The sequence below is a fragment of the Homo sapiens genome, chromosome X (genome assembly GCF_000001405.40).
Source record: "Homo sapiens chromosome X, GRCh38.p14 Primary Assembly".
Taxonomy (NCBI): domain Eukaryota; kingdom Metazoa; phylum Chordata; class Mammalia; order Primates; family Hominidae; genus Homo; species Homo sapiens.
This window is the reverse complement of record NC_000023.11, coordinates 111,119,179-111,146,782: the sequence shown is the minus strand read 5'-3', so window position 1 is coordinate 111,146,782 and position 27,604 is coordinate 111,119,179. Positions and strand designations below refer to the sequence as shown.

At 37.6% G+C, this 27,604-nt stretch overlaps 1 protein-coding gene across 43 annotated transcripts in view, besides 1 other annotated feature; it reads right to left on the bottom strand.

Annotated features, from left to right (window-relative positions):
* Positions 1 to 27,604, bottom strand: part of PAK3 (p21 (RAC1) activated kinase 3) — a 282,965-nt gene that overhangs the window by 80,579 nt on the left and 174,782 nt on the right. For 19 of the 43 annotated variants that reach the window (NR_136747.2, NR_136748.1, XM_047442148.1 and 16 more), the window contains 2 exons: positions 23,505 to 23,706; positions 4,587 to 4,687 (listed from right to left, as the gene is read on the bottom strand). Coding sequence is in view for 34 of the 43 variants with exons in the window: in XM_047442148.1 (XP_047298104.1) it covers positions 4,587 to 4,687; positions 23,505 to 23,679 (276 nt within the window). In the remaining 9 variants the exon portion in view is untranslated. Of the gene's footprint in view, positions 1 to 217; positions 263 to 1,860; positions 4,688 to 17,579; positions 23,707 to 27,604 lie in introns of those variants that run through there. The other 24 variants (XM_017029557.2, XM_011530968.3, XM_011530969.2 and 21 more) reach the window with 6 other exon arrangements.
* Positions 23,335 to 23,544: an enhancer, noted in NCBI's record as "active region_29857". NCBI's record gives its function as "activates an Ori minimal core promoter by ATAC-STARR-seq in GM12878 lymphoblastoid cells {active_cell/tissue: GM12878}" and the evidence as "EXISTENCE:reporter gene assay evidence [ECO:0000049][PMID:35858748]".

The following is a 27,604-nucleotide window of genomic DNA, read 5'->3' as shown; positions in this document are numbered from 1 at the left end:
TCCTGAAGTGCATCCAGACACAATTTATGTGGCTTTATCCTATGAAGTCTCGGCAAAACAATGTGTGACGTGGGCCTCCAGAGTTTGGGAATGACAACAAAAAAAGTGAGATAAGCCAAGCAACAACTCTACTGCACACACATGAACCTGCTGCTGCAGTGCTATGACATCTCAAAGAAGCACTTTGATGCAAGCTTCTTTTGGGCCTGTGACGCACCTCTGGGAGCTTCCCTGGGCACATCTGTGAGCCATAGAGATCTGGCTGTAATGGACGTAAATAAAGAAAGAAAAGAAAGTTAAAACAGAATGTGGGACAACTTAGAAGGTGGGAGGAGATGAAACCAATGGGTCTGAATGGGGGGAGTCCCTTCTAAAGTGGGGCAGTTATGAAAATAGGGAGGTTTTAACTAAATCAGGGACAGGACAGGCTACAGGACAACAGATTTAAGAGAACAGAGAGAACGACGATGCTTCAAAGTTTGGATGTATAATTCCACTTTTGGCAAGATGCTTCCTCCATAAATATGTATTAATAAGAATTACCATTAAATGATTGGAGAAATTATTAAAAGGCAGAAACATGAATTTGGAGGCAAGAAGGATGGCATCATGAAAAGCTTTGACAATAATTTGTAAGTTGTTTTTATAACTGGGTGATCACAGGTAGCCAATGGCCATGTGATAAACTTACAAATTTCAGTTCCCAATTCTGGTTAACCAATTTTAGTTTCAAAAGTGTGTATGTGGCTAAAATTCAAAGGATGGCTGTATGGAAACATTGAATTTTATTCTCATTGATGTGATTCTTTTGCACTTTGTAGCTAAAGTCATGGCTGGCTTAGAGAAAACTAGATAAAGAACATTCCCACATAGCCAGACTCTATATGTTAAGTTTCTTAGATATTTAGACCAGGGAAAGGGGAACAATTCCATTTCAAACCATATATATATAATTTCCATTTTAGTGCTGCAGTTCTAAAATCCCACTTCCCACAAAATAAGACAAGATATAAGGTAACAGCTTTGCCTAAATAAAGATATCTCAAATGCTACAGAAACATGCTTGACCCAACTGGCTTGATTTTGTATATATGTCCTTGATTCCTGGTATTTAGGGTTACTCCAAGCACAGTGAAACGACACTTTTACATGCATTTTTCACGCAGCTAGATGCTAAAGCCTTAAGCCAAAAATTTGAACTCAGGAGCCCATGCATGATCCCAGTTATGATTCTAAGTGCAATTAATAGCATTTGTTAATACCGTAATGGCCAAAGGAGTTATTAAGTGTTACAAATTGAGGTATGCATTGCACATAACCACTAGAGCAGACATTACTGGCATAATCATTACCATAATCATTAGAATATTGGCAGTTATTATACATTCCCATGGCACTTCTAAACTTTTGTGATAAATAGTTTTATGATCACTAGACAGCAGGAAAAAATGCTGCCAATAGCAGAAAATCCTCCAGACAACTATACTTACCACATGACTACACTGCTGACATAATTTTGACTACACTGCTGACATTTCTTTTTTCTAAGTTGAGACAAATCCAATTATCACTAAAACCCGACATTCAAATTTGAATGTATGCCACAAAGGCACATAGTCATAAAGCCATCTCATTATGCCACGTTGAGGAACTAATCCCAAAAGTTAGACAGCTAATGAAGACCTAGGAGTTTGAGCATCAGAAGCAGGAGCACATATCAATGTCTGACTGTGTATAGGATACCAACTAGAAGTAAATTAAGCTGGGGGTTGTCCAGTGTAGCCCAGGAGAATGGCAGCACGATATAACAGGCCAAGCATTTATCTTATCATAAGAAATGATAATTTATATCACTCATACCATTTTTCCCTCTGATTGACTTGAAGCGACCGTCACAGGTCTAGAGGTCTGGAAAGGGGAGTTCTGAAGTATTTGGGACAAAAATGGCAATATAAAGGATGAGGACTTATAATCATTGAATACCAAAAATCTCACCTCCCAACCTACTTTTAGCTTCAGGGTCCAAGTGTATGACCAGGTATACAAGGTCATATGGGCCAATTAGCCAAAGAGTAATCACCAAGCAACACAGCAAATCAGTGTCCAAATATTCAAAATAACAAGCCCTTGTAAGACAACTGGATTAGATAGTTCAGCAAATTGCACAAAATTCAACCTCAACAACCACGATAATCAAACTTAATATGATCCCCTCCCAACACACAATAAATTAGTGGTGCTATGACAATTAGGACCCAATTCTAAATCCTACCAATAAAAAGACTTTCTTAAAAGCTTTTTATAATTTGGCATGTTTACATTTAATAAACATAATAATATAGTAAATGTAAATCACAGGTTAAAAAAGTACCAAAAAGGGCAGAATTTGGCATCTTTAAGAATAATGTATGAACAAGTAGTTACAAAAGATCATCAGGATGACAATAAAGTACTTCCATTTTCCAAATTTAGCCTATGTCTTTCTATATATTCAATGGATTCGTAACAATGGAATACTTCCGAACAGCTATCTTATTTCAAATTGGGGATATTTTTAGTAGGGAGAGGAGTATTTGTTTCATATGGTTTGGTTGTATCCAACTGTTTTTCATCATTGGAAAGATAGTCCATCACTTTGGGTTCTTTGGGTTCTAATTGACAGCAAATTGAAAATGACTGGTGCTGCAGTCAGCAAGATGGTGGTGATTTACTTTCTTTCATTTCCATTCAGAATCCAGAATGATAAATGAAAGAGCTAGAGATATACTGTATCATAAGATGACAAGTAAGTTTGAAAAGTGGAAAGAATAAAATATTGGAGAGCAACTAGAATATCACATGAGATAACTGGATGAGAAAATTTTCACATCAGAAAACAAAAAGGAAGAAAAAAGAAAAGAAAAATAGTGAATGACAACAATAAAACACAATAGTAGTTTAAATGAGGAAAAGCACAGAGAACATTAAAATGTCAAAGCTGGAAAAATTAATAAAAAAGGGAAGAGTTATTAGGCAAAATTTTTATAAAGTTTAAGGGATCTTCTTGTTTCAAGTGTCAGCAAAAATAGTTACAATCTTTTTGTAATTTTTTAAAAATAGAACGTTTTTCAGGTTATACAAATTACGTTTTTTTCTGGTGGTGATGATGGTGGTGGTAGTCATAATAGCAAGGTTGGAGTATCTAAGTGTGGCTAAGAGAATATTCTGCAAATATAGTAAAGAATGGGTTCACACTCAAAGCCATTTGAGTAATGTCTCTGACTTTAATGATGAAATTGGTTAAATCTTACCTATCTCCACTTTATGTGTCAATATTTCTTAACGTTCTCCTCTGCTTGCTACTGAGAACGCAGAAATAATCAGCTTACACCACTTTATGAGGCCAAGGTGTTTACTGTTTCCATTTCCATTCTCCTATCACTTACTTCCAGAATTGAAGAAATAAGATAATTTGACTGTCAATTCAGCAACATTGTTTGCTTCTCCACATAGATTAATTTGTTCCTTCTTTTTTTCCGCTTAATCATATAACACAGTCTATTCACTACTATGTTATGAAACAAAAAACTCAACTACTTAATATGTAAATTTCTCTCTGGTTTAACAGCCCAAGAATTGATGGTGATGGCTCTATCAAAGATTTTTTTTGAAATGCCCTCAAAATTACTCCTTATTTCAGAATGTACATTTTGATGGAGTTCACTAATAGTATGGGAAAAGGTAGTTGACCTTCCTGGGGACATATTTCTAGCAATAGCCACATCTTTTCTCTCCTTGAGCTAAAATAAAATAAAATAAAAAAGATACCAGTTCTTTTTTTTTAAAAAAGAAAAGTATAAAATTCCATAGATCTGAGATCTTGTGCTATTTGAGCACTACAAATATTCAGCAAAAGGCTTGATCTATAGCTATGGTCTGTCCAGCGAATTCTTATTGGTATGTACTATGGATTGCATGACATCTCTAGAGAGAGATATCTAGAGAGAGAGGAGAGAGATGCCCAAAACAACTAGAACATACATGATATATCCATCAATATTTCTTCTTGAAATATAAGGTTTGTTTTTTGAAAATCTACAAAATATACCTACTAAAAATTGTAAAACTTATCTATGTTCTAGAAATCAAAGGGAAAAACAGGTCAGTTCCATAGAGATTCTTGGTTAGCGTAGTTAGCTGATCTGGGTATTCTAGGTTTTAATGTAAAGCCTGAATTATTCAGATGAATTATTTTCACTGGCCAAGGTGAGTAGATGATTCTCTGATTCCATTCACTTGATAAAGAAAAAGCTCAGGCAGTATCTGTCTGCCAGGAGTACATCTTCTGTGCCATGGTTAGTTAATATTTTCAACCAAGTTGAGACTATACAGTGATCAAACTTTTTTAAAAGATGGACAAAATAATTTGGTCAATGCTGTTGCCATCCTCTATTTCCATCTATGATTGCCTAGGCAATGTCCATCTTATTTGGAACCATCAAAAATATTAAGTCTGACATTTTGGGACATGGCAATTCTTGCTTGAAAACTATTTTCACAAAGGAATTCTTTCGTGGCTTACAAAACAAAACAAGGAGCTTACTTACAGTGAATTCCCCGGTGACTGCATCAAACCCCACATGAATCGTATGCTCAAAGTCTGAAGGAAGAGAGATCTCTGGGCGCTCTTTCTCCTTCTTCTTATTGGCTAAAGGCAAAATGTTAACATGTATTTATTTGGGGTATAGTTTTGGCATCCACAAGTTGTACAATTAGGTTCATCAAAACAATTACAAAGTTGAAAGACAATTGATTCCAACACAATTTTAACAACACTTAACTCCAGAAATTCCAATTATTTGCAGAAGTAGCTAAGAGGGTGATGACAAATGTCATATCCAAATAATTCAAAATTTCCAAAACTCATTTGAAACAAATCTCTCATTCAAACTGATTTATGCCTTTTACCAGTGTAACCAGGAGATATCTAGGGATATTGTGTTTAACTGGCTTTGTTGAATCAAATATCACTTACTAAGGAAGAAATTCATCATATACAAGTCAAGCTAAGGCATACTATTAGAAAGAATAGAAAAGCACTTCAGCTTTCAATAAAGATATTGTGAATTGTTTCTATGTTAACGATAGCTAATAATCAAGTGGTTGGTACTTATTTAATTTAACATGTTTCTATTATTAACCATATCTTAATAGACTCTTCTATTAACAAGAATACCACTGCAAATCAATTATGTTACAAACCTTTTTTATTATTAAAAATATTTCAATCATTTCCTACCCAGCACTTTGCTAGTAAAAAGCTACAAATTGCTGCTTTTTTTACTGAATTAATTTTATTTAGTTTTCAGAAAACTTAAAGCCATTCTTTGGTTTAGTTTTTCTAGTTTGTAGTTATTTGTCCATGTTTCCATTATATTTTGTCATATCAGCCATTCAAAAATCATTGTCTTTTTCAAGTAGCAGATTTTTCATAGTTACATAATTATAAATAAATGTATCAGTAGCTCATAATTTAAAAGCCTATAAAGATATAATCACTGAATAAACTAAGTTGAGAACTATAGTCTATCTGGAAATAGTTCCCAGGAGGAAGTCACTGTGGAAACACTCTAAAATGGCATCTAGTCGCTTCCATAACACACTTATTAGCAGATCTGAGCATGTATCTCTGGTGAGGCTGCATTTCACACTGAAAAAAATAGTACTCACCCTCCTAATACAGGGCAAGTCAGCATGAACCAGGTTTACCCAGTTAAGACCAATCAACTTCAGAATTGCCAGGGCGGTCAATTTAGAACATTCTGGTTCAAATAGATGTTGCCTTGGCCTGAATTACAGACAACATTCAACCGTATATGGATTATTGGTTTTGTGGGTTACCCATGATAAATTTTAAATTCAAAACTTTTCATGTTCAAAGGCTATTCTTATGGCTTCTTGTCTCATTCCACTCTCTCTCACTGTTCCTTATCTCCAGCCACAGGACAGAGATATGGGGCAGAAATAAGAAAACTGAAGTAGTGAGAGGAACTATACAGGATCAGGAAAGAAAGGTTGGGAGCAGGGGAACAAGAGTCACCCAAGGCCTTTGTCTGGCCATGGAGCACATTTAGGATTCATTTTGAAAAAATACATATATGCCATATAACTTACCCTCATTACAGATTCCATTTTTACAGTGAGCCTACTTTATTCATGAATATTATCCTAACAGTGAAGTTTAGAGTTTTCTGTTGGTACTTCTACTTCCCCTGAATGTTTGTGAACTATAGCTAACATTTATACTTGTTCAACTACCATTTTTTACTTGTTCAGAAAGGCACTCTGGTGTCATCACTCTATTGAAGGTGTCCTAGCCACTCCTGTAATCATTTTCTTACTTTTTCTCTTTCATGATGTCCCACCCATGCTGGCCATGGCTAGCTACTTCTCTTTCTACTTCCTTGACAATGTGGCCTGGCATTCCTCCTTTCTCAGTGACCTTTCTTTCTTTGATTGTCATTGCTTTTGCCTTTGCTAGTACAGTTTTTGGCCTTCTACATTTCTTTCTCTATTGGATTGCCTCCACTCCCAAATACTAACTCATGTTAGGTAATTCCCTAATCTGTGGTTGGCAGGGGTGGATCCACATGTTGGGGGACCAAATACTTCATGTAATTTGAGAGGAAGGTTCCCTTTAAGTAAAAGACATTATAAAATTACAAATACAAATGTACCGGGGCCCCTCCAGGGCCCTGGAAGGGTTCCAGGCAAGTGAGTAACTCTGAAGGAGCAGTTTCATTCACTTCACAGTAATTAGCTCTTGGTAAGCTTTTTGGGGTCAATCTTCTGAAAAATCTGAAGAAAGCTATGGAACTTCTGCCCATAAAAATGTACTATATACATATACTTTCACAGGTTCATAATTCTCCTGGACTCTGAGTTAAGAGCCCCTACCTTAATCTGTACCTCCAAATCTTATATCAATTTGAATTCATGGCCCCTCTTGTCAGCAAATAAACTCTCCCAACTTTTCTATTAGTATTGGCAAAATATTTGTAGCAAATTGACTCAACACTCCACTTGGGCTGAGTTACATGCAGAATTGGATTAATGGTGTTTTCCTAGAAGGCCACCAGACTGCCAATGCCTTATCAGCCTAACTATGCAATTTTCTTCACTCAGGGCTAAGCATAACAAAGGCAGGAAGCCCAAGTTTGCTCCTCTTCTGGTGTTCTCTATCACAGTGAAATGATACCACTAACCACGCAGATTAGAGAAGAAGCAAGGCCTTAGGCTCCTCCTCCTTTAGGCGGCTCTAAGCAATGAAAAAAAATTATGATCCTCCTCTCCAATATGCAATTCAAATAAAAACAATACTAAGGCATAAACAATTAAGGAAGTGCAAAATTTCTGATGTTCCTATGGTGATTGAGTCTTTTTTTTAAGCTATATATTCAAAATTAAACTGTTTCCACATTTTGGGTACTTCAGATTTACTAGATGCCATATACAAATGCTTGTTCTGGCTCCTGAGTAATCCAGCACTGGCCCAGCTGCCCAAACCAAGAATCTGGGAGTCATCTTTCACTCCTTTATTTCTATGCTAATTCATCATCAAGTTTTGTATATTCTATCTCCTAAACTGGTCTTGAATCCATCCTCTTCTCTTCATCCCCACAAATAACTAACTTAGTCCAAGGCTTCATCACTTCTCACTTAGCATCACTGCCTCCAATTTTATCCACTTCCATTCATTTCTCTACTCTGTGGCTAGATCACATTCTTGCATTTGTGTGTGTGTGTGTGTGTGTTGTTGTTTGTTTGTTTGTTTGTTTGGTGGAGTCTCGCTCTGTCACCCAGGCTGGAGTACAGTGGCGTGATCTCTGCTTACTACAAACTCCGCCTCCCGGGTTCAAGCGATTCTCCTGCCTCAGCCTCCTGAATAACATTCTTGACTTTAAGATGCTTAAATGCTGTCCCCTATTACCCATAAGTTAAAAGTTCATGTTTCTTAGCATGATATCCAAGGGCCTGCATGATATGTTCCTAAGTTTACCACTCCAACCTCTCTATTCTTGCCATGTGCCCCACTACTTATACACATTCAATGCTCCCTAAACTGCCAGGCTTTCTCATACCTCCAAGCTTTTATACATGCTATACCTATGCCTGGAAAGTCTTACTTCTTACCCTCTCCCCCAAATTTATGGGGATCACTCCTATTAGTCCTTACTCTTAAAGACTCACTCTTGGGCTTTTTCACTTTTGGCAAGTCTTTTCCTATCTCCCCTCTGCAGACAAAGTTAAATGCCTGTCCTTTCATGCTCCCATAGAACTACTCAGTGTCTACTTTGAGCTTGGTACCATCAGCATAGGATTGGTATTTTTTACATATCTACCTCTCTATCTAAAATTTGAGATACTTGACAGTAAAGAGTGTAATTTATTTATTCTCACATTCCCCAGCAACTAGCTTGTACCTGCAGACTTAATAGCTATCACGAATGGGACACTCACCACGTGCCAAGTATCTGGGGCTATCTCATTTAATCTCCGCAACAGTCATATGAGGCAGGTCTTGTTCTTGTTTTATAGATAAGTGGGACTCATTGGGGTTAAATCATATACCCAGGGTTACACAGCTGGCAAATATCAGAGCCAGGATTTGAATCTACGTCCCCACTTTGTCTCCAGAACCAAAGTTTTCAACAGTTAAACTATTTATTACTCAGTGGCATTAAAAAAAAAAAAAAGATTTGAGCTCTAGCTTTCAGTAAGTGTTTAGCAATAAACTAGACCCTAGATGAAAACCAGTTTTTCTTTTGTTTTGTTTTTTAGATACACTAAAATGTCTGTATCACCCTGCAAAATTCTGTGAGCATTTGTCATTTATCTTAAAGCTCAACCTGGTCAGCTATCTGGGTTGATATTTGCAGAGAGCAGAAGTCCAAAAAAGTATCACTTTCTAAGTGTACCTCCCATATTCTATTGGAACTCAGAACAAGGCTACAAATTGCTGCCTGGACCACAAACTGCAAACAGCATTTGGCCTTGAGATCTATTGGGAGTTCTGGTTGTAATTCCTGGGGCTAGCTAATCTCTCCAGAATCTCTCATCCTGACATCTTTCTCTATTCTACTACTTCATAAAGAATGAGAAGTCCCTCTAGTCATCTATCACCTTTTATATGCCCACCCCAATGTTCTGCAGTTCTTTTACCTGCAAGAGTTTGTCCTATCAGAAACATTTTTTTTCTACATTTTCTACCTCTTCCTTCACCTCTTGCCTTAGGTTTTCATACTTCACTGTACATCATTTTCATCTGAGAACTTAAAAAAAAAGAGAGATGCCATCTCCAGAGATTCAGATTCAGTTAGTCTGGGGTAGCCTTAGGCATCTTTATTTTTTAAAACTCCTCAGGTATTTATATTACTTAGCTGGGACTGAGAACAATGACTTTAGACTCTACTATCCAGTGAGGGTACCGCTTCCTTAGATAAGACTGGTGGAGGCTGCTCACCCTTTCTCATCCCAAGCCTGTAGTCCTGAGAGAATGGAGAAGGCAGACTTTCTCTTTTTTTACTCCAAATGATTTGAGATCAGTACTTCTACACTTGCCTACAAAATCCTCTCTTTTGAGATTATCACCACCTAGTTCTCCTGGCCAAGTGCGTTGTTCTCCATTGAGTACTTTGGCTCCCAGTCTTCCTTCCTACATTCTGTGCTGCCACCACTGTGTGAAACAGGGTATTAATGGACACCTCCTTCATACCCTTTCCTTATGGATCCTTGATCTCTCTCAACTCTAATGAATTTTACCTCCCTTCCACTTCTGCAATCATTCCCACAGCCATCTTTTAAACCATTGGTTCTCAAGCAGGGCTGCACATCAGAATAACCTGTAGAGTTCCATAAAATACCAATATCTAGAGCCCACCAATAACCTACTATATCAGGATTTCTGGGGATGAAACCTGGGCAAATGAATTTTTAAAACTCCAGAGATAATGCACAGCCAGAGTGAAGAACCATAGTTGCCCCAGATCTTTTTATTATCCAGAATAACCCTTTCTCTGCAATATTCAACCTTGTTATCTCATTCTCTGAGCTCAGCTTCCCATCTGGCTAACCTGCTAATTGTTTCAAGTGCTTACTCCTATTTTACTTGTTCTTTGATCTCAACAAGACCTCCATTTCTAGAAGGTAATGGGGAATATTGAAACAAGGCAATAATAGCAGATTTGAGTTTCAAAATATCATTCTAGTCACTGCCATTTTTAGCCAATTTCTCAGCTTCCTTCTGGCTGAGACTCTATCGTCCAGCATGTAAATTGCTCTTATGCTTCTGTCCTGGAAAATTTCACTCTTTGACTTCTTGTTATAATTGTCCTATGAAACCCTACCCTAATAGAATCCAACCATGAAAGCTCTCCACTTCTATGTCAAGGCTGCCAAGAGTTGCTGGAGGGAAATCACACAGCCATGCAGATTGGTTGGTGCTTATGATAGCTGGGTCATTAATGGTGCTTGACAATAGTTTCGTCACCCCTTGCCAACTTCCTTTTCCAATCACCACACCCAATATTCCAGAAATTCAGAACTCCACTCTAACTTCAGCTCTACCCCCTCCTCCCTTACTTTCAGCATATGACCTTCCTTCTACTTCACTGAGATAAATGGAGGGACTCCTTTTTTTTCAGTTATTCCTTTGATTTCACTTTCTCTCCCGCCCCTATGAATTTATCTCCAGCAGTAGCATCTTCTTCTCTTCTCCTGTCTCACTCCTGCCACCTTCTACCTAAAGTGAATCCACCAATTATGCTCTATTTCTTCTTGTATCCTCAATCTCTCCCTCTCTACTGGCACTTCTCTTTTGGCTTAAAAAACATGCTGAGATCACTATTGTCCTTAAAAATTAAAATGCTTCTGCTTCTTCACATACTTCTCTAGCTGTTATAGTCTTAGCTTTTCTTTCTTTAGGTTAAACTTCTTGAAAAGGTAATCTAGATTTCCTTAGCTCTCACTCCTCAAACCAGTGTAATGACTCCCCTGAAGTCACAAATTAGCCTCCTCCTTGACCAATGGCTACTTTTCTGTCCTTACAAGTGTGGACCTCTCAGTCAAAACTGACATTTGAGACCACGAACTTCTTGAAGCTAACATTTCCCCCACCTTCTTTCATACAACTCTTTCTTAGAGTCTATTTCTGCATTTCTCAGTTTTCTTTCTCAGCCTCATTTGCAGAAGGCTCTTCATCCCTTCTCATCAACACACTTCTCCCTTGGGTCATCTCATCCACATGCATGATTTCAATCCCCACTGACACTAGTGATTCTCCATATATACCTCCGGCCATGACATCTCTGTTGCACCCCAACCCCATGTAGTTAACTGGCTATTGAACACCTCTATTTAGGTGCCTCACAGACCCCCACACTAAATATTTTCAAAATCAAGCCTAATTATTTCATTAATTATCTAACTAATTAAGTGCTTTTCTCTATCAAAAACAGGAAATAACAACTCTTCTTTTGTTTCCTAACTCAACCTTCTCCAGCTCTTCCTCTCACCATCTGATTAGTTGCCTAGTTCTATGAATTCTCCTCCCTAAATAGTCCCTCTGCATTGTCCTCTTTTATTGCTATTAGTGGCCCTTAAGCCAGGCCACTCTCATTTCTCACCTGTATGACTCCAACAACCTGACTGGTCTCTTTCCCCCTCTTCCCGATTCCTCCTGTGGCTAGAGTGATATTTTGAAACACAAATCTGATATCATTGCCCTGCTTCAATATTCCCCCATTGCCTTCAGAATCAAATTTAAAGCCCTTAGCATGGCATAGATAAGCCCTCCAGGATCTGGTCCCCACTTACATCCACAGCTTCTTCTCTACCCCTCTCCCACTCTCAGAGCACCAGTTTTTCTGAACTACTTGTAGTTGTATTCATAGAAGCTCAACTAAGAGCGTGTCATGCCTGCTGCCTTCAAAATGATGGTCTTTCTACCTGGCATGCCACTCACTCCTTAATGGCTAGTTCTATGCCTCCTTTAAGACTCACCTCAGTTCAATAATCCTCTCCTCCAGGAAGCCTTCCCTAACCACCCCTTCCTTCAGTCTTGAATAATTGCCTCTCCTCAGTTCTCACTCCTACATATTACACTTATCACACTAAACTCTAATCATTGAATAACTTATCTGTGTCCCTGACTAGAGCTTCAGTTCTTTAAGGCCAGGGACTGGGACTTTTTCACCTTTGTACCCCAGCACCTATCTAGCACAGCATCTGACTCAATGTTTAATGAAAAAGCAAATGAACAAAAAATGAATGGATGAATGAATGACCTTCATTATATGAAATAAGGCCCAGTATATGGGGACAGGTCATGCCTATTTGCTGTTATGTGTTCATAGAAGAGGAGAAGATGATCGATGTCTGCCAAGAAGGCCTAAGGGTGAGGAGTATATTTTACAGTTGTTTTTGTAGTTGAAGTTGTTTTTGGTGGCATTGTTGCTGTTTTTCCCCCAACAGTGGGGATGACTCTATTCATTCAGGCACACCTCTTGCCAGGTACCACTTTGGGGCCAAAGGCATATATGGTAACATAGCTGGGCATGGTTCAAGGTTGAGCAAAGCAACCAATTCTCCCCCAAGATGAAATCCCTGGATGGTGCTATGGCTGCCTTCTGAAAGCAATTTAGAAAGCTCTCACCTGAGTCTTCCTTGTTGTAGGAGTTCCATTTGTTATCTTCCCCTAAAATTCCTGGAAGTTTTGTTGGGCCTATTCACTGGATGTCATATGGTCATTTTCAGATTTATTTTTTAGAACTCTTTCTAGCTTCTTGAAAACAGAGCATGCAGGAAAAGAAAAAGGATGGCAGAAGACAGACATAGGGAAATGCTTTCCTACATAAATTTAGCCTAAAAGCACAAAACAATAATCATCTTTTTAAAAGCAATGAAAAGCATGCAAAATATTATGGTACATGTCATAATTTTAAAAGCAACATTTGAAGCCTTGTTAATACAGAAAGCTAAAAGCAAAATATCATATAAAGCATTTTTACTGCAGAAATAATTTTTCTAAAGAAAAATAAACACATAGTTTGACTAGTTCTATGAGGCAAGCATTTTACAACCTTGGCTCTAAAACACAACTTCCTCCTGCTACTGTCCCAGCTTCCTTTCCTTTGAATCAGTGAGTCAGTTAGCAACTATATTGAATTGTGGATCACTGTAGTGACAGGTTATTCTGGGTGATTCATTAGAAACTTCAGTAATATTCTGAACTTGAAATCTAACTGGGGAAATAACCTTAATAAACAAGAAATAGCAACAGAAACTACCAAAGAAAATTAGGTGCTAAGTTGGGCAGAATATAGGATAGTAGCATGTCAAAAGAAAAGATCACAGAAATCTGTGGTGGACAGTCAGGGCTTACTGGAGGAGGTATGTTTTGAGAAATGGGCCTTAAAGACTGGATACCTAGATGCAAGGGTAAGTCATCTCAACGAGGAAGAACAGTAGAGGTAAAAGGTTGGAAGTAGGGATGCATATTGCATGTTGATGAGGAAATGAGAAGACACAATAAATAAGTAGGGTGTAGCCTTGGAAATCAGGAAGGGAAGAAAGATGAAATCGGAGGTAGTAATACAAAATATGCTGAGAAAGGTTTTTGAATAGTTGAATGACACAACAAAAAAAGGTGTGAGAAGACAAGCTAGATAGCTGTGTGCTGCTAAAGGTACACATGCCATGGTGGGGGCAGGCTTCCAGATGGTTGCTGTTTCACTCAGGTGGAAAAGAAGAATGAATGGTGGGAGTGGAATGGGGAGGACCTCCCCACCACTGTATCTGTTTTCTCTAAGATCACTTACTGGACATTTCCCACAAACTCGGCGTGTGTGTGTGTGTATGATTTCTGCAACTATGTTGAAAATTACCTGAGGATAGGGAACCTTGTCTCATATGTAGTATCCCTCACAATAATCAGCACAGAGCTAGGCACATAAAAAGTAGGCACAACTCTTTTCTGAGTGGTATATAAGCAGTTAAAAACATGCTCCAGATTCTGTTATATCTAACTTTTAAACTGAGATAGCTAATAAATTAAATCTGTGCTCAAAGTCAGAATGCAGCCCAGATTTGTGCATTGGCTGGATACCCATATGTCTCTATCCTGTGGTCTTCCATTAAGTCCTTTGAGATAAAGGAAGCCTAATAAAACATTCCGTTAGGAGGCTTGTAGTGTAGTTGCTGGGGTCGAGGCCCTCCTGGGAGGTGCACTTATCTCATAATCCCTAGCTTGACACCAGAAGCCCTTGTCCTTCTTTCCACCCTTTGTCCCCCTCACCCTGCCCAGGTGCAATCTGTATTCATTCAGTGTTATATATTCCTAAAGCCAAGCAACTTTTGTAGTCACAGGGACCACTTCTGGCAGAAACAGTGGAGATGGCTAGGTTAGAGATCTGTCATATTTAAAGGCCTATTTTTCATCTCAATATTCCTGAGCCTTGATTTGGGAAATCCATGTTGAAAGGATATATAAGTCTTATTAAAGGGCCATCCACCTCCTATGGGTGACATTCTTCATTTCCCTAACAAATGATCCTTAGTGACTTCGTTACTCTTTAGCTGGATGATAGATGCTTTCGGTGGTCCATTGATTTATCTGTTACTAAAAGGCTGTCAGTTAGTGCCCCAAACAAGTCATTTACAAAATGTTGCCTTTGGCCTGTAAGAAATGAAATGCCTTACTGTCTACTTAGCTACCAGGAAAGTGAATTAAGTACTGTGGTTTTTCCTTTTTTTATTAAAAAAAAATGCCATTTTGCTTCATCCTCTGATTTGTGGGTCACAGAGCACACTGTGCCATAACCCTCCTTAGGGAAGCCTTCTGAAGCCTTCCTTATACTTAGGTAACAGTAAGTGTCTCAGAATAGTTCTTCCTATGACAACAGCAGCCCTGCAGGTTTCAAAGAGGCAGGCACTCATTTGTGAGAGCAATAGTTCCAGAGGGACTGATTTCTGCAAAGCATGTTCTAATCCCTGAGACATCTGCTCTGTAAACAAACATCCTGTTTGGGGGCATATTACAAGAGGGAACCCACAGGAATTTCTTAACTCCTGGATTTACAAGAAGTACATTTCCCTGTACACAGGGAGAGATCAGTTCTTTTGTTTACACCTAAAATTTTTTTTGGTATAAAGACTATCATTGTGTGGGCCTACAAATTTATTTTTTTTTTTGCATTGGAAATATGTGAAAGTATATGTGGTGACTACAATAGAAAGATAGGCATAAAAATAGATTTTATTGTTGGCAGTAAGTATTTAAAGCAACTGACAGTACACGCTGAATAAGAATTTTAAAAGAAATTCCACATAACATACATATTTCTGGCATAAACTTAGCATCTTGGGCGAATACATATTGATTCTGAGCAGAAAAGGAAGGTGTTCATTAAATGAGTAAGACGGCCCAAATATCTTTTACATTCTGGATCATGAATGAATCTAAGGGGAGGGATGATAGGTGCACCACTCCTGTGTTCTATTTTAATATTCCATATTTTTCTTTTTTACAAAAGCTAGTTACTTCCTATTAGCAAATTAGGCCCTCAGGAGGAAAAACTTGTCAGGATAAAGGTATGACTACTGTTGTAACCACTGAGGCACCTGGGTTCTACTTGCTTCTGTAAAAATTCCATTTTTGCATATTCCATTGGCTGAAACCTGTTTACAAAACAAGCTACTCTCATTTTATGTAAGCAGTATAGTCTTCAACTACCACTGGACTAGGAGTTGGGGGATCCAAATTCTAGGTCTGCCTTGCTTTGTTATTAAGTAGTGGAGCAAATTTGTGGAAGTCATTTAACCTCTCTGAACTTCTGCCTTCCTCTGTAAAATGGGAATAATCCCTGCCTTACCTCCATCATAGGAAGTTTGAAGAAGGTAACTGATATGAGAGGTTTTGAACATTGTAATACACCTATAACGGCTTTCCAAAATACATCATCTTATGGCAATATACTAAGTAACAGGGTGACTATGTTTAGACCTAGCACTTTCATCTTATGAGTGATATCCTTAGAAGTATAACTACTGAGAAAAGAGGATTAAACTGGGCCATCTTAAACATTCACTGCTCTTATTATAATATCTTTTATTATATTAGCAAATCTCAAAAGCATATAGTTGGGAAGGCCCATGGTGGAAGGTCCATTCTCCTGCCTTCATGTAGAACTTGCTAAAGCCATGAGATATCTAATGAAGATTCTAGAAAATGTCACTCTTAGTAACCTATAGCATCCAATTAGCCTATCTGGAATTTATGTCTAGTTCCATTCTCTCTGGTGGAATATTAAGCCCAGTTTCTCCTGCTAGGTCTTCAGTGGCTATGGAAAACAACATATGTCCTCCACAAATTAGCAGGCTTTAATGTACAGATAAAACTCAATGTGGTACCTGATTCTGCAAGAGTGACCACAAGCCCAATTCACAGGTCAGATGTTCCGTGAGGATGATGGGATGGGGGAAGTAAAATGATAGTCACATGTGAGCCCTTCAAGTCACCCCCACTCACACATGCAAACAGCTAGCACCTTCAGTGGTATCATCTTCAAAAACATTCAGCAACAGTGATTATTCTGGGAAATCATTAGGAAGTTACCTCTTACTCATCTCCCTCTAGGCAACACATACTGGTTCCACTTTCATTTGCATTCAATTGACATATGCAACAACTTTGATGGGAAACATTTGAAAACAAAAAGCAAAGATGAGGCAATGTCCTAACTAGACACTTCTGATCATGTGGATAATTATATAGGGTAAAAGTCTGAGGAGAAAAAGGAGGCCTCATTTGCCTTAATGGGGAAAGCAACTTCATATCCCTTAGCCTTTGTCAATTTTCCTCTTCTTGCAACACTCCATTTTTTAAAGCATATCAAACTGCGTGTTTGATACAGCACTCTTCTGTCTTCCCCTCTTATTCCATCCATCCTCTGTATCTTCTCCACCTCCTAATCTCCCTTTCAGTCATTACTTCCTCTCAGTTTATTTCTCCCTGTGGCTTCTTTACCTTAGTGTAAACATCTCCCAACCCTACATTCCATACTTCTCTTGCATTTGACTGTCTGTTGGTTTTACGGGGCTACCATATTTGTGCCCAGTTTCCCCATTCATTGGCCTTAAAGTGGAAGCACAGACCCTGGTAGATAGGGAGAGTGTGTCCTTATTCCACCTTCTTCCCATTTCAACACGGGTTTCCTAGGAGTAAAGGAGTAGTACAAGAGACTCTTCTATTGGGGCATAGCACTGACCCTAGAGGACAAGCAAGATGCCATGTCCTTCAGGTTTCCAAAAGGGCAGGGCAGTGATTTCCAAAGAACACTCTTTGCTAAGCTGGATGGGCTACATTTGCAGAACCAAGAATGTAAGCACCATTCAGGATGTAGCAGTCTCTGATACCTGGCTTTCTGATAACAGAACCCTGAATTAATTGACACTCTTACACATTATTGGTGCAGTGATAATAACTTTGAGCTACTGCAAGATCCAAAGGGTCTCCAGTATCACCAAAGAAAGACTGCATACTGTTATCACACTAAGTATATTTTATTGTGCATTAATTAGATGAAAGTTAGTAATATGCATTGACCAAAACATTTGATTGACAAGACCATAAAGGATAACTGAGAGTTTTCTTTAATATAATTGTTGTACAGCAAGGATTCCTGCTGTATAGAGTATATAGAAGATGACATACTCTAGGAATTAGAACAATATATATTCAATACAATAACAAAACTATATAGTACTTTAAGAACTCTTTCACATATATGAACACTCTTACTTAGAACTTCAGCTGTTTAAAGTAAGCAATATGCAAGCCTATAAAGTACACACCAAAAAAATCTAACCTACAAAACACCCAAAGCAAATGTTAGCATATCTCTATTATCAAGAATATCTTCTCACCATCGTTTCTTTCAAAAATATGTGAAAAAGTTCTTTCTTTCCTTATGAGTGGCAATTTTTAAAAGTCCCCTCTTCTGAAATTCAGATATGTTTCAAATCACACTATCATCTTCTTAAAGAAAAATGAAAACCACTCCTGGCTTTTAGATGCTGGGAACATAGTTTACCACATATTCCCTTTGTCCTATTGCAAGGTAGTGTGATATAGTAGAGTAAGCATAGGGTTTGGAGTTAGAGAGACTTGGGAGGCCTCTGGCTTCTGTCATTTGCTATGTGATTCTAGGTTGGTTGTCTACTTAAATGCTTTGAGCTTAAATTGCCTCATCTGTAAAAAGGGAATAATATAGAGTGGCTGTTAAGTGTTAAATCAATACATGTAAAGTGCCTGGCACATAGCTTGGCACCCAGTAACTAGTTAGTAAATGGTAGGAAACTTCCTATTTGTCTTGATTTGATTTATATACAATGATTCCTTCCTATGCCTCCATGAAAAAGGATCATCACATCATTCCCAGGCTCACCAACTCCCAAATCTCTCTAGATTCCCCACAAATAAAATGCACATGAACTGTGCCCTCTAAAGACACAGTCCATTACACAGCACTGCATATCCTCTGAAACACACCTAATGCTCAAGTGCAGCAGAAGACACAAGACATATAAGCATGCTTCAGTAGACACAGACGTCACACAGAACACGTCACCTCTAAATGCAGCCTCGCAGCCTCACCTGCTTCTTTCCAATATGTTCTTCCAAGCTTCAAGTCCTTAACATTGATTATTCTTGGAGGCACTATGCAATTTTCAGAGTCCTGGCTGCATTCATTTGCCTCATTGTTTTTTCCTTATTGGTTTATTTATTCATGTATTTATTAATGTATTTATTTATTAGTGTGTTTATTCCCCACCATGTTCCAAGATGGATGTCAGGTGGCTTACAAGAATACACAAAATACAACATGATAGCATAAATTCAAAGTAGATAAGAAAGTAAAAGGAAAAAACAAAAACAATAAAGATAGGAACACGAAATGGAGCCTGGCAGAAAGCTAATACAAAGTGCATACATACCGTAGAGTCCCATTACAAGTGCTATGCATTGACCACACATTTGACTCCAAGCTTTCTAGTAGCCAACAAAAGAGAAACCTGATCAGTCCCAGACTTCACAGGGTCCATAAAATAAAATCAACCCATATGGTTAGGATGTCTCTTTCCTGGTCTAAATCCTGAAAACTTTTCTACAGTAAAGTATCATAAAATGGTGGCAAACTGTCCCTCCTGAATTGCTCTAACACCAAAATTCAGCTTCTGGAACAGTCACTAACAAAATAAATCCTCAATCTTGAAATTACATCTACTGTTTCTTTTTTTTTTTCTTCTACCTGTCTCTTGAAGTTCCACTTAGTCAATGAAATGTAGCTATTAAAAGGACTTCTTCAAAAACAAACAAACAAACAACAAAAAATCCTCTGCTTTCACCAAAGCAAATATTTTCAGTTAGGTAATGAAAAAGACATTGTGAAATTACAATGGCCAAATTTGGAAAGACCCTCAAATATCCAACAAAAGAAAATGGTTAACTAAACCATGATGTCATCCTATGATGAAATATTATACACCATTGAAAATGATATTTACAAATACTTTGCATAAATGTAGGAAAATATTCATGATAAAAATGCTAAAAGCAACAAAGCTGTATGCATTATGACTTTTTCTATGTAAAAATTATATATGTGCACATATAGCCATAGAAAAAGACTGGAAATAAATCCACCAAAATATTAACATTGCTTCTGGGATTTGTGATTATGGGTGGTTTTTATTTTTTTCTATATGCTTATCTTTATTTTCCAAGTTTTTGACATTGATGAACAATTTATGATGAGACAAAGAGGTACTAAGAAGAAAAATACCAACTTAGTTACCTCCGGCTTATAAAATTATAGGCACATTTAATTTTCTTTTTAAAATTTTCTATAATTGACATAAAAATGGGAGGAAGTTACTTTAAAAAGTAAAAGAATTCAAAAACCTAGTTTTCTCAGTTGTTCATTGATAAGGTCCAAAATGCTACAAATATAATGATATTATGGTTATTCAGCACTTCCTAGTTTTACTTTTAATAGCCATTGGGTACTTATAATTATATTCAATTATCACTAATATTGTGATATTTGTGCCAGGTATTACTATCCTCACTTAACAGGTGATGAAACTGAGGCTCAGAGAAATCAAGTGACTGGCCCAATGTCACAATAATCAGTGGCAGAACTGAACATGAACCCAGGTCTCAAGAACCCAAGTCCAGTGCTCCTTCCATTAGTTCAAGACTGACTGTGGTTAAGCAGTTACCAAGAGATAGGAACACAGAAATAGTAATCCCTCTTTCCCCATGAGAGTCAGTTCCTGAACAACCCCCAAGGTAAGAAAGTTCAGCTGAGGAGATCATGATATCGGGAAGGAAAAAAATGGGCAAAAATGAGGTCTCAAGTAAACTGTTGAAAACCCTCATAAATATTTTTATGCAGGTAAACAATAACAACAGCACATTACATAAAAAGAATAATGAGTTTACATAGTTTAAATCAGTAAAAATGATAGGCTTTATACAGTTTCCATTTAGATCCTGAGATGATTTCCAGAGGTGATGAAGATGTATCTATCACTCATTATGGTAGTGGCAAATGGGGGTGACAGAGAAGCAATGAACAGAAGTGGACTATTCATTAGTTCAAATTATGGATGTCTATACTCTTAGAGTCAGTGAAGTCGAATCCTGAAGTTATAACAACTTGCTTGAGGCTTTATTTCTATCAAGCAAGTGAATTTAAGTGGCCCTTCTAAAGATGCTTTCATCTTCTCAAGTCCTTTTTGAAGACACCTTAGCAGTTCTGTATGGAGTTCAATTTAATCATTCAATCTTTGTCTGAAGGTAGCTTATTAGCTGTCCAGTAAGAGTATTTAAATGGTACTACTTGATAATTTAGACTTTTCTGAGGTTTCTTTCTTCCCAATATAGTCTTTTAGAAAGTCTCATAGGACCTTTTATTAGAGTCTAATTAAATCAAACTTTGTCAGAAGGTAGTTTTATCAGCTGTCCAGCAACAGTATTAAATGGCACATGATTTAAGTTCTATTGAAGATTGTTTCTGTCCAATATGATTATGTTTGATGGCATCATAGCACCTCTTTATAGAACTCTAAGTCACTCAAATTTTGAACAGGTAATATCTGACACATGTAAAGATGCCAATTTTAATTACCTTCTTAGGGAGGTTTTAATCTTGTTCTAAAAATTTTGCTCCTGTTTCTTATTGCTGTATTTGTTTCCAGTCCCACAGCCTCCTAATTGTCTTCATCATCACTTATGATAATAACCTCTGGAGACAAGAAAGCTTCCTGAGGATCAGCCTCTAGCAGCATTAACTTGAATTGGTGTCAACAGTTTCAGATTCAACTTCCGCCAATGATTGCTCTTGTGCCAAATTTTCATCCTCATCCATAGGTTTTTCTTGTCTTTGGGAGGGATAGAGGAAAGATATTTCACCACCTCTAGCCAAGTCTTCTCACAGGTCACATTAATGACAGGCTCTGTTAAACTATCTAATGCCTCTTTGGGAAGTTATCTCCTGAAAACCCATTAAAAATCAAAAGCCAAACTTTTATTAAGGATATGCCATTAATAACGATGTAGGAGTCTCATGCACTAGGATTTTCAGACAGTGGAAACTTTGCGAGATTGTGAACAAAGTTATACATTAGTTTATAATAAGCCTTCCTGAATGGCCAGATCAAACACTGACTGAAAGGCTCAAGAATCTCAGACATGTGGCTAGTTATAAAGACAACCTTACCATGAGGATGCATATTGGCAAATGTACCTGAAGCACCAAATAGACTGAAGAATCAGCAGGACTTTGAATTCAAGGTATTTTTTTTTCTTTTAAGTAGTCTTGAACATCCACAAGAAAGTACTGTTCAAACCATCCCTTAAGGAGAGGAAGATTCATCTGGGCTTTTCTGTTTGCTTGCTAGTACACTGGAAACTTGGCTCATTTATTTCCCCTGAGAGGGTTTGGGCACAATTTTCTGTAGAGCAGCAAGGGTTTCATTATGAGGTCACCTGAAGTATTGGCAAAAAATGGAAATGTCAGCTTCTCTGATTTTGTTGACCTCAGCATCAGTGGGCGCTTGCTCTTCAGAAGTATTCAAAGGGTTTCAAAGCTTGACACTCTCGATAGCACTAAAGATTTGTGCAGGCATGTAATCCCCTTCTTCAGCCACTTCCTGAATTTGTGGTGAATACAACATGAGAGCTGCAGGAACTGTTTGTTCTTTGGCATAACTGTCAAATAAGACCTGGTCTCCACATTATGGTACACCCTAAATTCCTCAAACCATCCCTTACTCCCAACAAATTTTTTTCTGGATTCATTTCAGTGTCTAAAGACATGTCTCTGAAAATTCCTCTTGCATAGTCACAAATCTCTTGCATGGAATGTGGTTCATTATTCTTCAGTTTATCTTCAATCCAGAGATTTAACTTCATTTCCATCTTTTCCATCCTTGGGTCATGAAGAACAAAGCATCTTTTAAGTTATGCAGGTGTACAAGTGGCAGTACTGGCCATACTAATAGTTTCAGCTTTCTTTGTGGTATGAATTGTAGATTGATTAACACTATATAAGTGACCTACAAAGCTATTTATTTTACCTTGAAGAAGTAGATTGAGAATGTCCTGTTTCTCTTCTAAAGACATCACCCTTCTTGCCCTTCTGACAAGTTTCTATGGTGTCAGTGCCCTTGTACTTGCTTCATATCTGTAGAAGCCATGTTTCAGCTTTATGCTAATTAATGTAACCTGAAAGTTACTTACTAGAGATTTCATATCCCTGCACGTCACAAAGCATTAGCATATGACATTTAAGCACCAAATGGTATTACAAACACCAGAAGGATAAATTATAATATATTGGTGTGCTACTCAGTACACATGGGGCTGTCTAGGGGAAAACAGGTTGAAGAATGATAATGGAAACAAATGACTCAGAAATGCCTTCCCACTTACAATATAGTCAGAGAGACAATATTGTGGCAACGTGGACTGATTCTCATATACTGAATTCAAAATTTTCAGTTATCAAAAAGGTATACAGAAGTAAACCTACCTATACCCAAATTTCCAAAAAGAACAACTTATAGTTAGGGAGGGATTATTGTAAATTCTACTCTACATTATCAGAAAGAAAGTCACTGTTGATATATTCAAGACAGTACTGTTGCTATGATTACCCTTGGCTTAACACTATGAATTTAATTTTATGTGAAAAGCAAACATAGTGTAAATGTATTTTCTGTCAGCCCACAGTAAATCAATCAAACATTATTCTCTGACAAAATGCAACCTCTGAAGACGTAGATGTAAAGGGCCGGCAGGCCCTGAACAGTCAATCCTCAAGAAACAACTACCTAAGAAAGAAAGTGAAAATGAAAGAATAAACTAGCCCATTTTCAATGCCCGGCCACTGATACTTTACTTTTATCCCCTCCTCCTGGGAAGATAGAGCGAAGCCTGGCTTTCTTATTCTTCTCTTCAGGGGCCATGGGAAGTGGTTTGGAGCTGTGGTTGAGTGCTGAAGAATCCCGGTTGTTACTATTCATCCTCAGTGGAGGAGCCGGGGGTTTCTCTTCATTATCCAGACCGTCAGACATTTTCAGTTACAACTAATTTCACAGCTCCTAAAGAAAAGGAGGGAAAAAAAAGGAGTTGAGGGAGAAGAGGTCTAAAAACCTAATAAATATGTGGATTCTAACATCTTAGAAACAAAAGCATTGCTCTCATGTTTTCTCAGGTTTTGTGTGAGGATCGTTTTTAGGGGTTTCTCTTCTGGAGGGAAGGAAGTTACCTCCCAAAAACCCTGATGCAATTTTCAAAAAAGGAAAGTGAAGGCAGTAATTAATGGCTTTTCAAATATTATAAAAATATGTAAGTCCCTTTGCTTTTCCCACATTGAAACTCTATTTTCTCCTCCCCACTAACAGTGTTTTAGTGAACAATTTACAATCTTATTTTAAAATTCTATCCTGATGATTGTAGTGGTCAGGTGATCAGCCTCCTCAGAGTTTGGAATTGACACAGGTTTGGCTGTTGATTTTTAATGGCCCATAACAATGACTTGTTAGCTGCTTTAACATCGAGATGTCCTTGGTGTTTATTTCTTACATGTGTGTACCTCAGTCACAAAATGCACTCTCCTGTTTTTATGATAATTAACCGAGAAACCATCCCATAGATCTGGCAGTTTCAACAGAGTTGGAGTGTGCTGTTAGGGTAAACAATGTTCCATATTCTCCCAAGCAGGCAGAAGATAAAGGTGGGCAAATGTTGGAGGGCCAGTTCCCGAGGAGACACCATAACCTTACTCCCTGCCACATTTTACGTCTTGGAAGAAGGAAAAAGGGAGGTGACAGAGGTAGCTAGCTGTAAGATCCAGTCTGGGTTTTAGGAGCTTATTTGCTCTGAATTTCATTATTCTTTTTTTTTTTTTTTTTTTTTTTTTCAGATGGAGTCTCACCCTGTGGCCCAGGCTGGAGTGCAGTGGCGCAATCTCGGCTCACTGCAAGCTCCACCTCCCAGGTTCATGCCATTCTCCTGCCTCAGCCTCCCTAGTAGCTGGGACTACAGGCACCCACCACCACGCCCAGCTAATTTTTTTTGTATTTTTAGTAGAGACGGGGTTTCACTGTGTTAGCCAGAATGGTCTTGATCTCCTGACCTCATGATCCACCTGCCTCGGCCTCCCAAAGTGCTGGGATTACAGGCATGAGCCACTGCGCCTGGCCAAGTTCATTATTCTTTAGTATCTTGTGTCTACATCTGAGTATATTTGGTTTTCATTCCCCTGGGAGGATAAAGTAAACTGGAAAAGCATGAACTCCCCAAGGGAATGTTTCTGTCTCCAGGTATTTTCCTACTCTAATTCAAGTCCTTCCATAAGGTCCTGACCCCAGCACAAGTCAGGTACTAATAGTACCTTCCAAATGAATCCCCAGTTTGAATTCAAGGAAAATCAAATCCCTTTAAAACTATATCTCTGTAAACTTATCAAGTATTACCTGGTACTAATTTAGGAACATTACAACTCTCCAAACATGACTTAGCATTATCACTTTGTTTCCACAACATTTACTATGAACAAACCTAAGAACAATAAAAACAAAAACAGGGGTCTACTCATTAACTGTTGTGCTGAAAAATTATCTATCAATGCTTTCCGGCCCTTTAGTGGTTATAGTATGTTTATTACTCTCAGTAATGCACTCTAAGTTACATCATGTTAGGTAGAGAATTTTAAAAATTTTATTTTGTTCTAAATTCTCTCAAACATATACAGTCTGTAATTACTCAAGAATAGGTTACTATCAATTAATAGCTTCTCCATCTGCACAGGTGATTGACAACTAACAATTGGTTTGATTTTGATTTGAACGGGAGATCGCTTTTGTTTTGCTAAGTGTCATGTCTTGCATTATCTTAATGAATTAAGACCAATTCTATATTTTTTCAGTAATAATGATAGTGAAAATACTAAGTAATAAATGGTTTGTCACTATCACCAACAATTTCATAAACCTTACATTTTCCTATTTAGGTCAAACTACAGAACAAGGTACAATGAAAAAGTAATTGTGATGTCAAGGATAAAGTATATTCAGAGATACTATCGGTACTAGAGTAAATATTTGAACTGGAATATGAGACCAGTGCTAATGTGTCTGCATTATCTTTTGCATTTTGACTTTTGGTCCTTCTAAATTCACAGTTTCTCTAGAATTAAAGTGAATTTAAGACTGACTTCACCAGTGGCATTATTCTGTACTGGACAGGTTCATGGTTTTAATTTAGTCACAGAGAAAATTTGCCACCAGAGACAAGTCACTAGTTTTCTCTTTTACTTTTCTGGGTTCAAAAACTATGTGCAAATATGAAGTGATTATTACATAAATATGTATACAGATATACAAAATCTAGCTTGGTAAAAATAATGAAATTTGAAAGTTATTGCAGAGAAACTGAACATTTTAAAATAGAAATACCTAGAAGACAAATTTCTAAAAAGAGTGTCTCACAGGAAGAGAGAGCCACCATTTTCTGGATGATATATATTTTCTGATGACATATTTAACTTGAGATGACAGAAGTCAGGAAAACACGCCACACGACCTCTTTAAAATGATATACAAAGCTGATCTTGCGTGATAAGACAAGTAAGAGTCTGAGCCAGCCAGGGTTTCAGCTCAAATGAATTTAAAATGCTATGCTCCTTTGTTCTTGATAAATAGGTGTGGCTAACAACAGAGTGGCCTTTTTTGTTCCTAATTACTCCATCTGACCAGAGAGGCAGGTAGATGCCCTGCTTCCTTTCAGGCTGCCTGATTACCCTGACTTTATTTGACCAAGTATAATATGGGTTGGGAAGAAAGGAATACTTGGGATCTAAAACTCAAACTAAACTCTTCTATATTGCACTAAAAATCCCTGACCAAAAATTCAATAACACACATTTGCCATGGTCAGTATCACAGACATTCTGCAAAGGACTCAGCTTATGTGACATACATTCCTATTGCCCACCAAACTGGAAGTGTTTCAATGTCATTCAACTAATCAAGGCATCATAAGAGGAGCTGGAATACACCTTTTACAAAGACACAAGTGAAACTGAAGAACCTATGTCCAGGTCCACACTAGGAACTTAATAAAGCTTGAACCAAACCATTTTCCTAGACAGTTCAGATATGGTTTTGTTTTAATTATCTTGATATTACTTTGGTTCTTTACTACCCATTACAAGGCACAACCAATCATCCTCTGCTAATGATTCCAGATAATTCTGCTTTGCTGTTGAAAGAATAGTACAGGAGGTCCTTGGTATTTTAACTCACCTTCAAATCAAGTGCCTCTAAGCACACTTTTAGAAGACCAATGGAGAAAGGGTAGGGACCTGCAAGGAATCCTTGTGGTTAAAGTATTTGTTTCCCAAGTGGGAAGTATCTCCTACTATTCCACAAACATATTTAAAAAGGGATTTTATTATGTTATGTTTATAAACAATGCCAATCTACTTAGCCATGTGTTCCCCTGAGACAGCTTTCTATAAAGGATACTATTAATGGATTGCTGGTTCAATCTGCCTATGATGTCATTATTTCCAAGATCTTGAAAGAGACTATTTTATTTTGGGCGGCTGTAGGCTCTATTTCAAGAATTGTACATAAGCACCATTATTCTCTAGGAATCCGATAAAAAAAACTGTTTATCTTTAAAGTTCAACTGTTGTTGTTCATTTCTGTAACAGTACAGAAACTTGTGAGTAGCACATTAGATATAGCCACAGGCCATTCATTTTTCTTTTAGAGACTGGCCCTTAGCATTGTGGAGCTAATTTTAATGGATAACCAGCAATGGTTTATATCTGCTCACAGACTGATTTCATACTTGACTACTAGGTTTTTCAGAGATAATTTAAATGGCTTTTGTAGATGGTGTATATTTTTTTATTCAGCCCTTGGGACTTAATGTGGTTTAGCAATGCTCTGTAATTACACTTGCAATTCATCAGCAATAAGACATAAG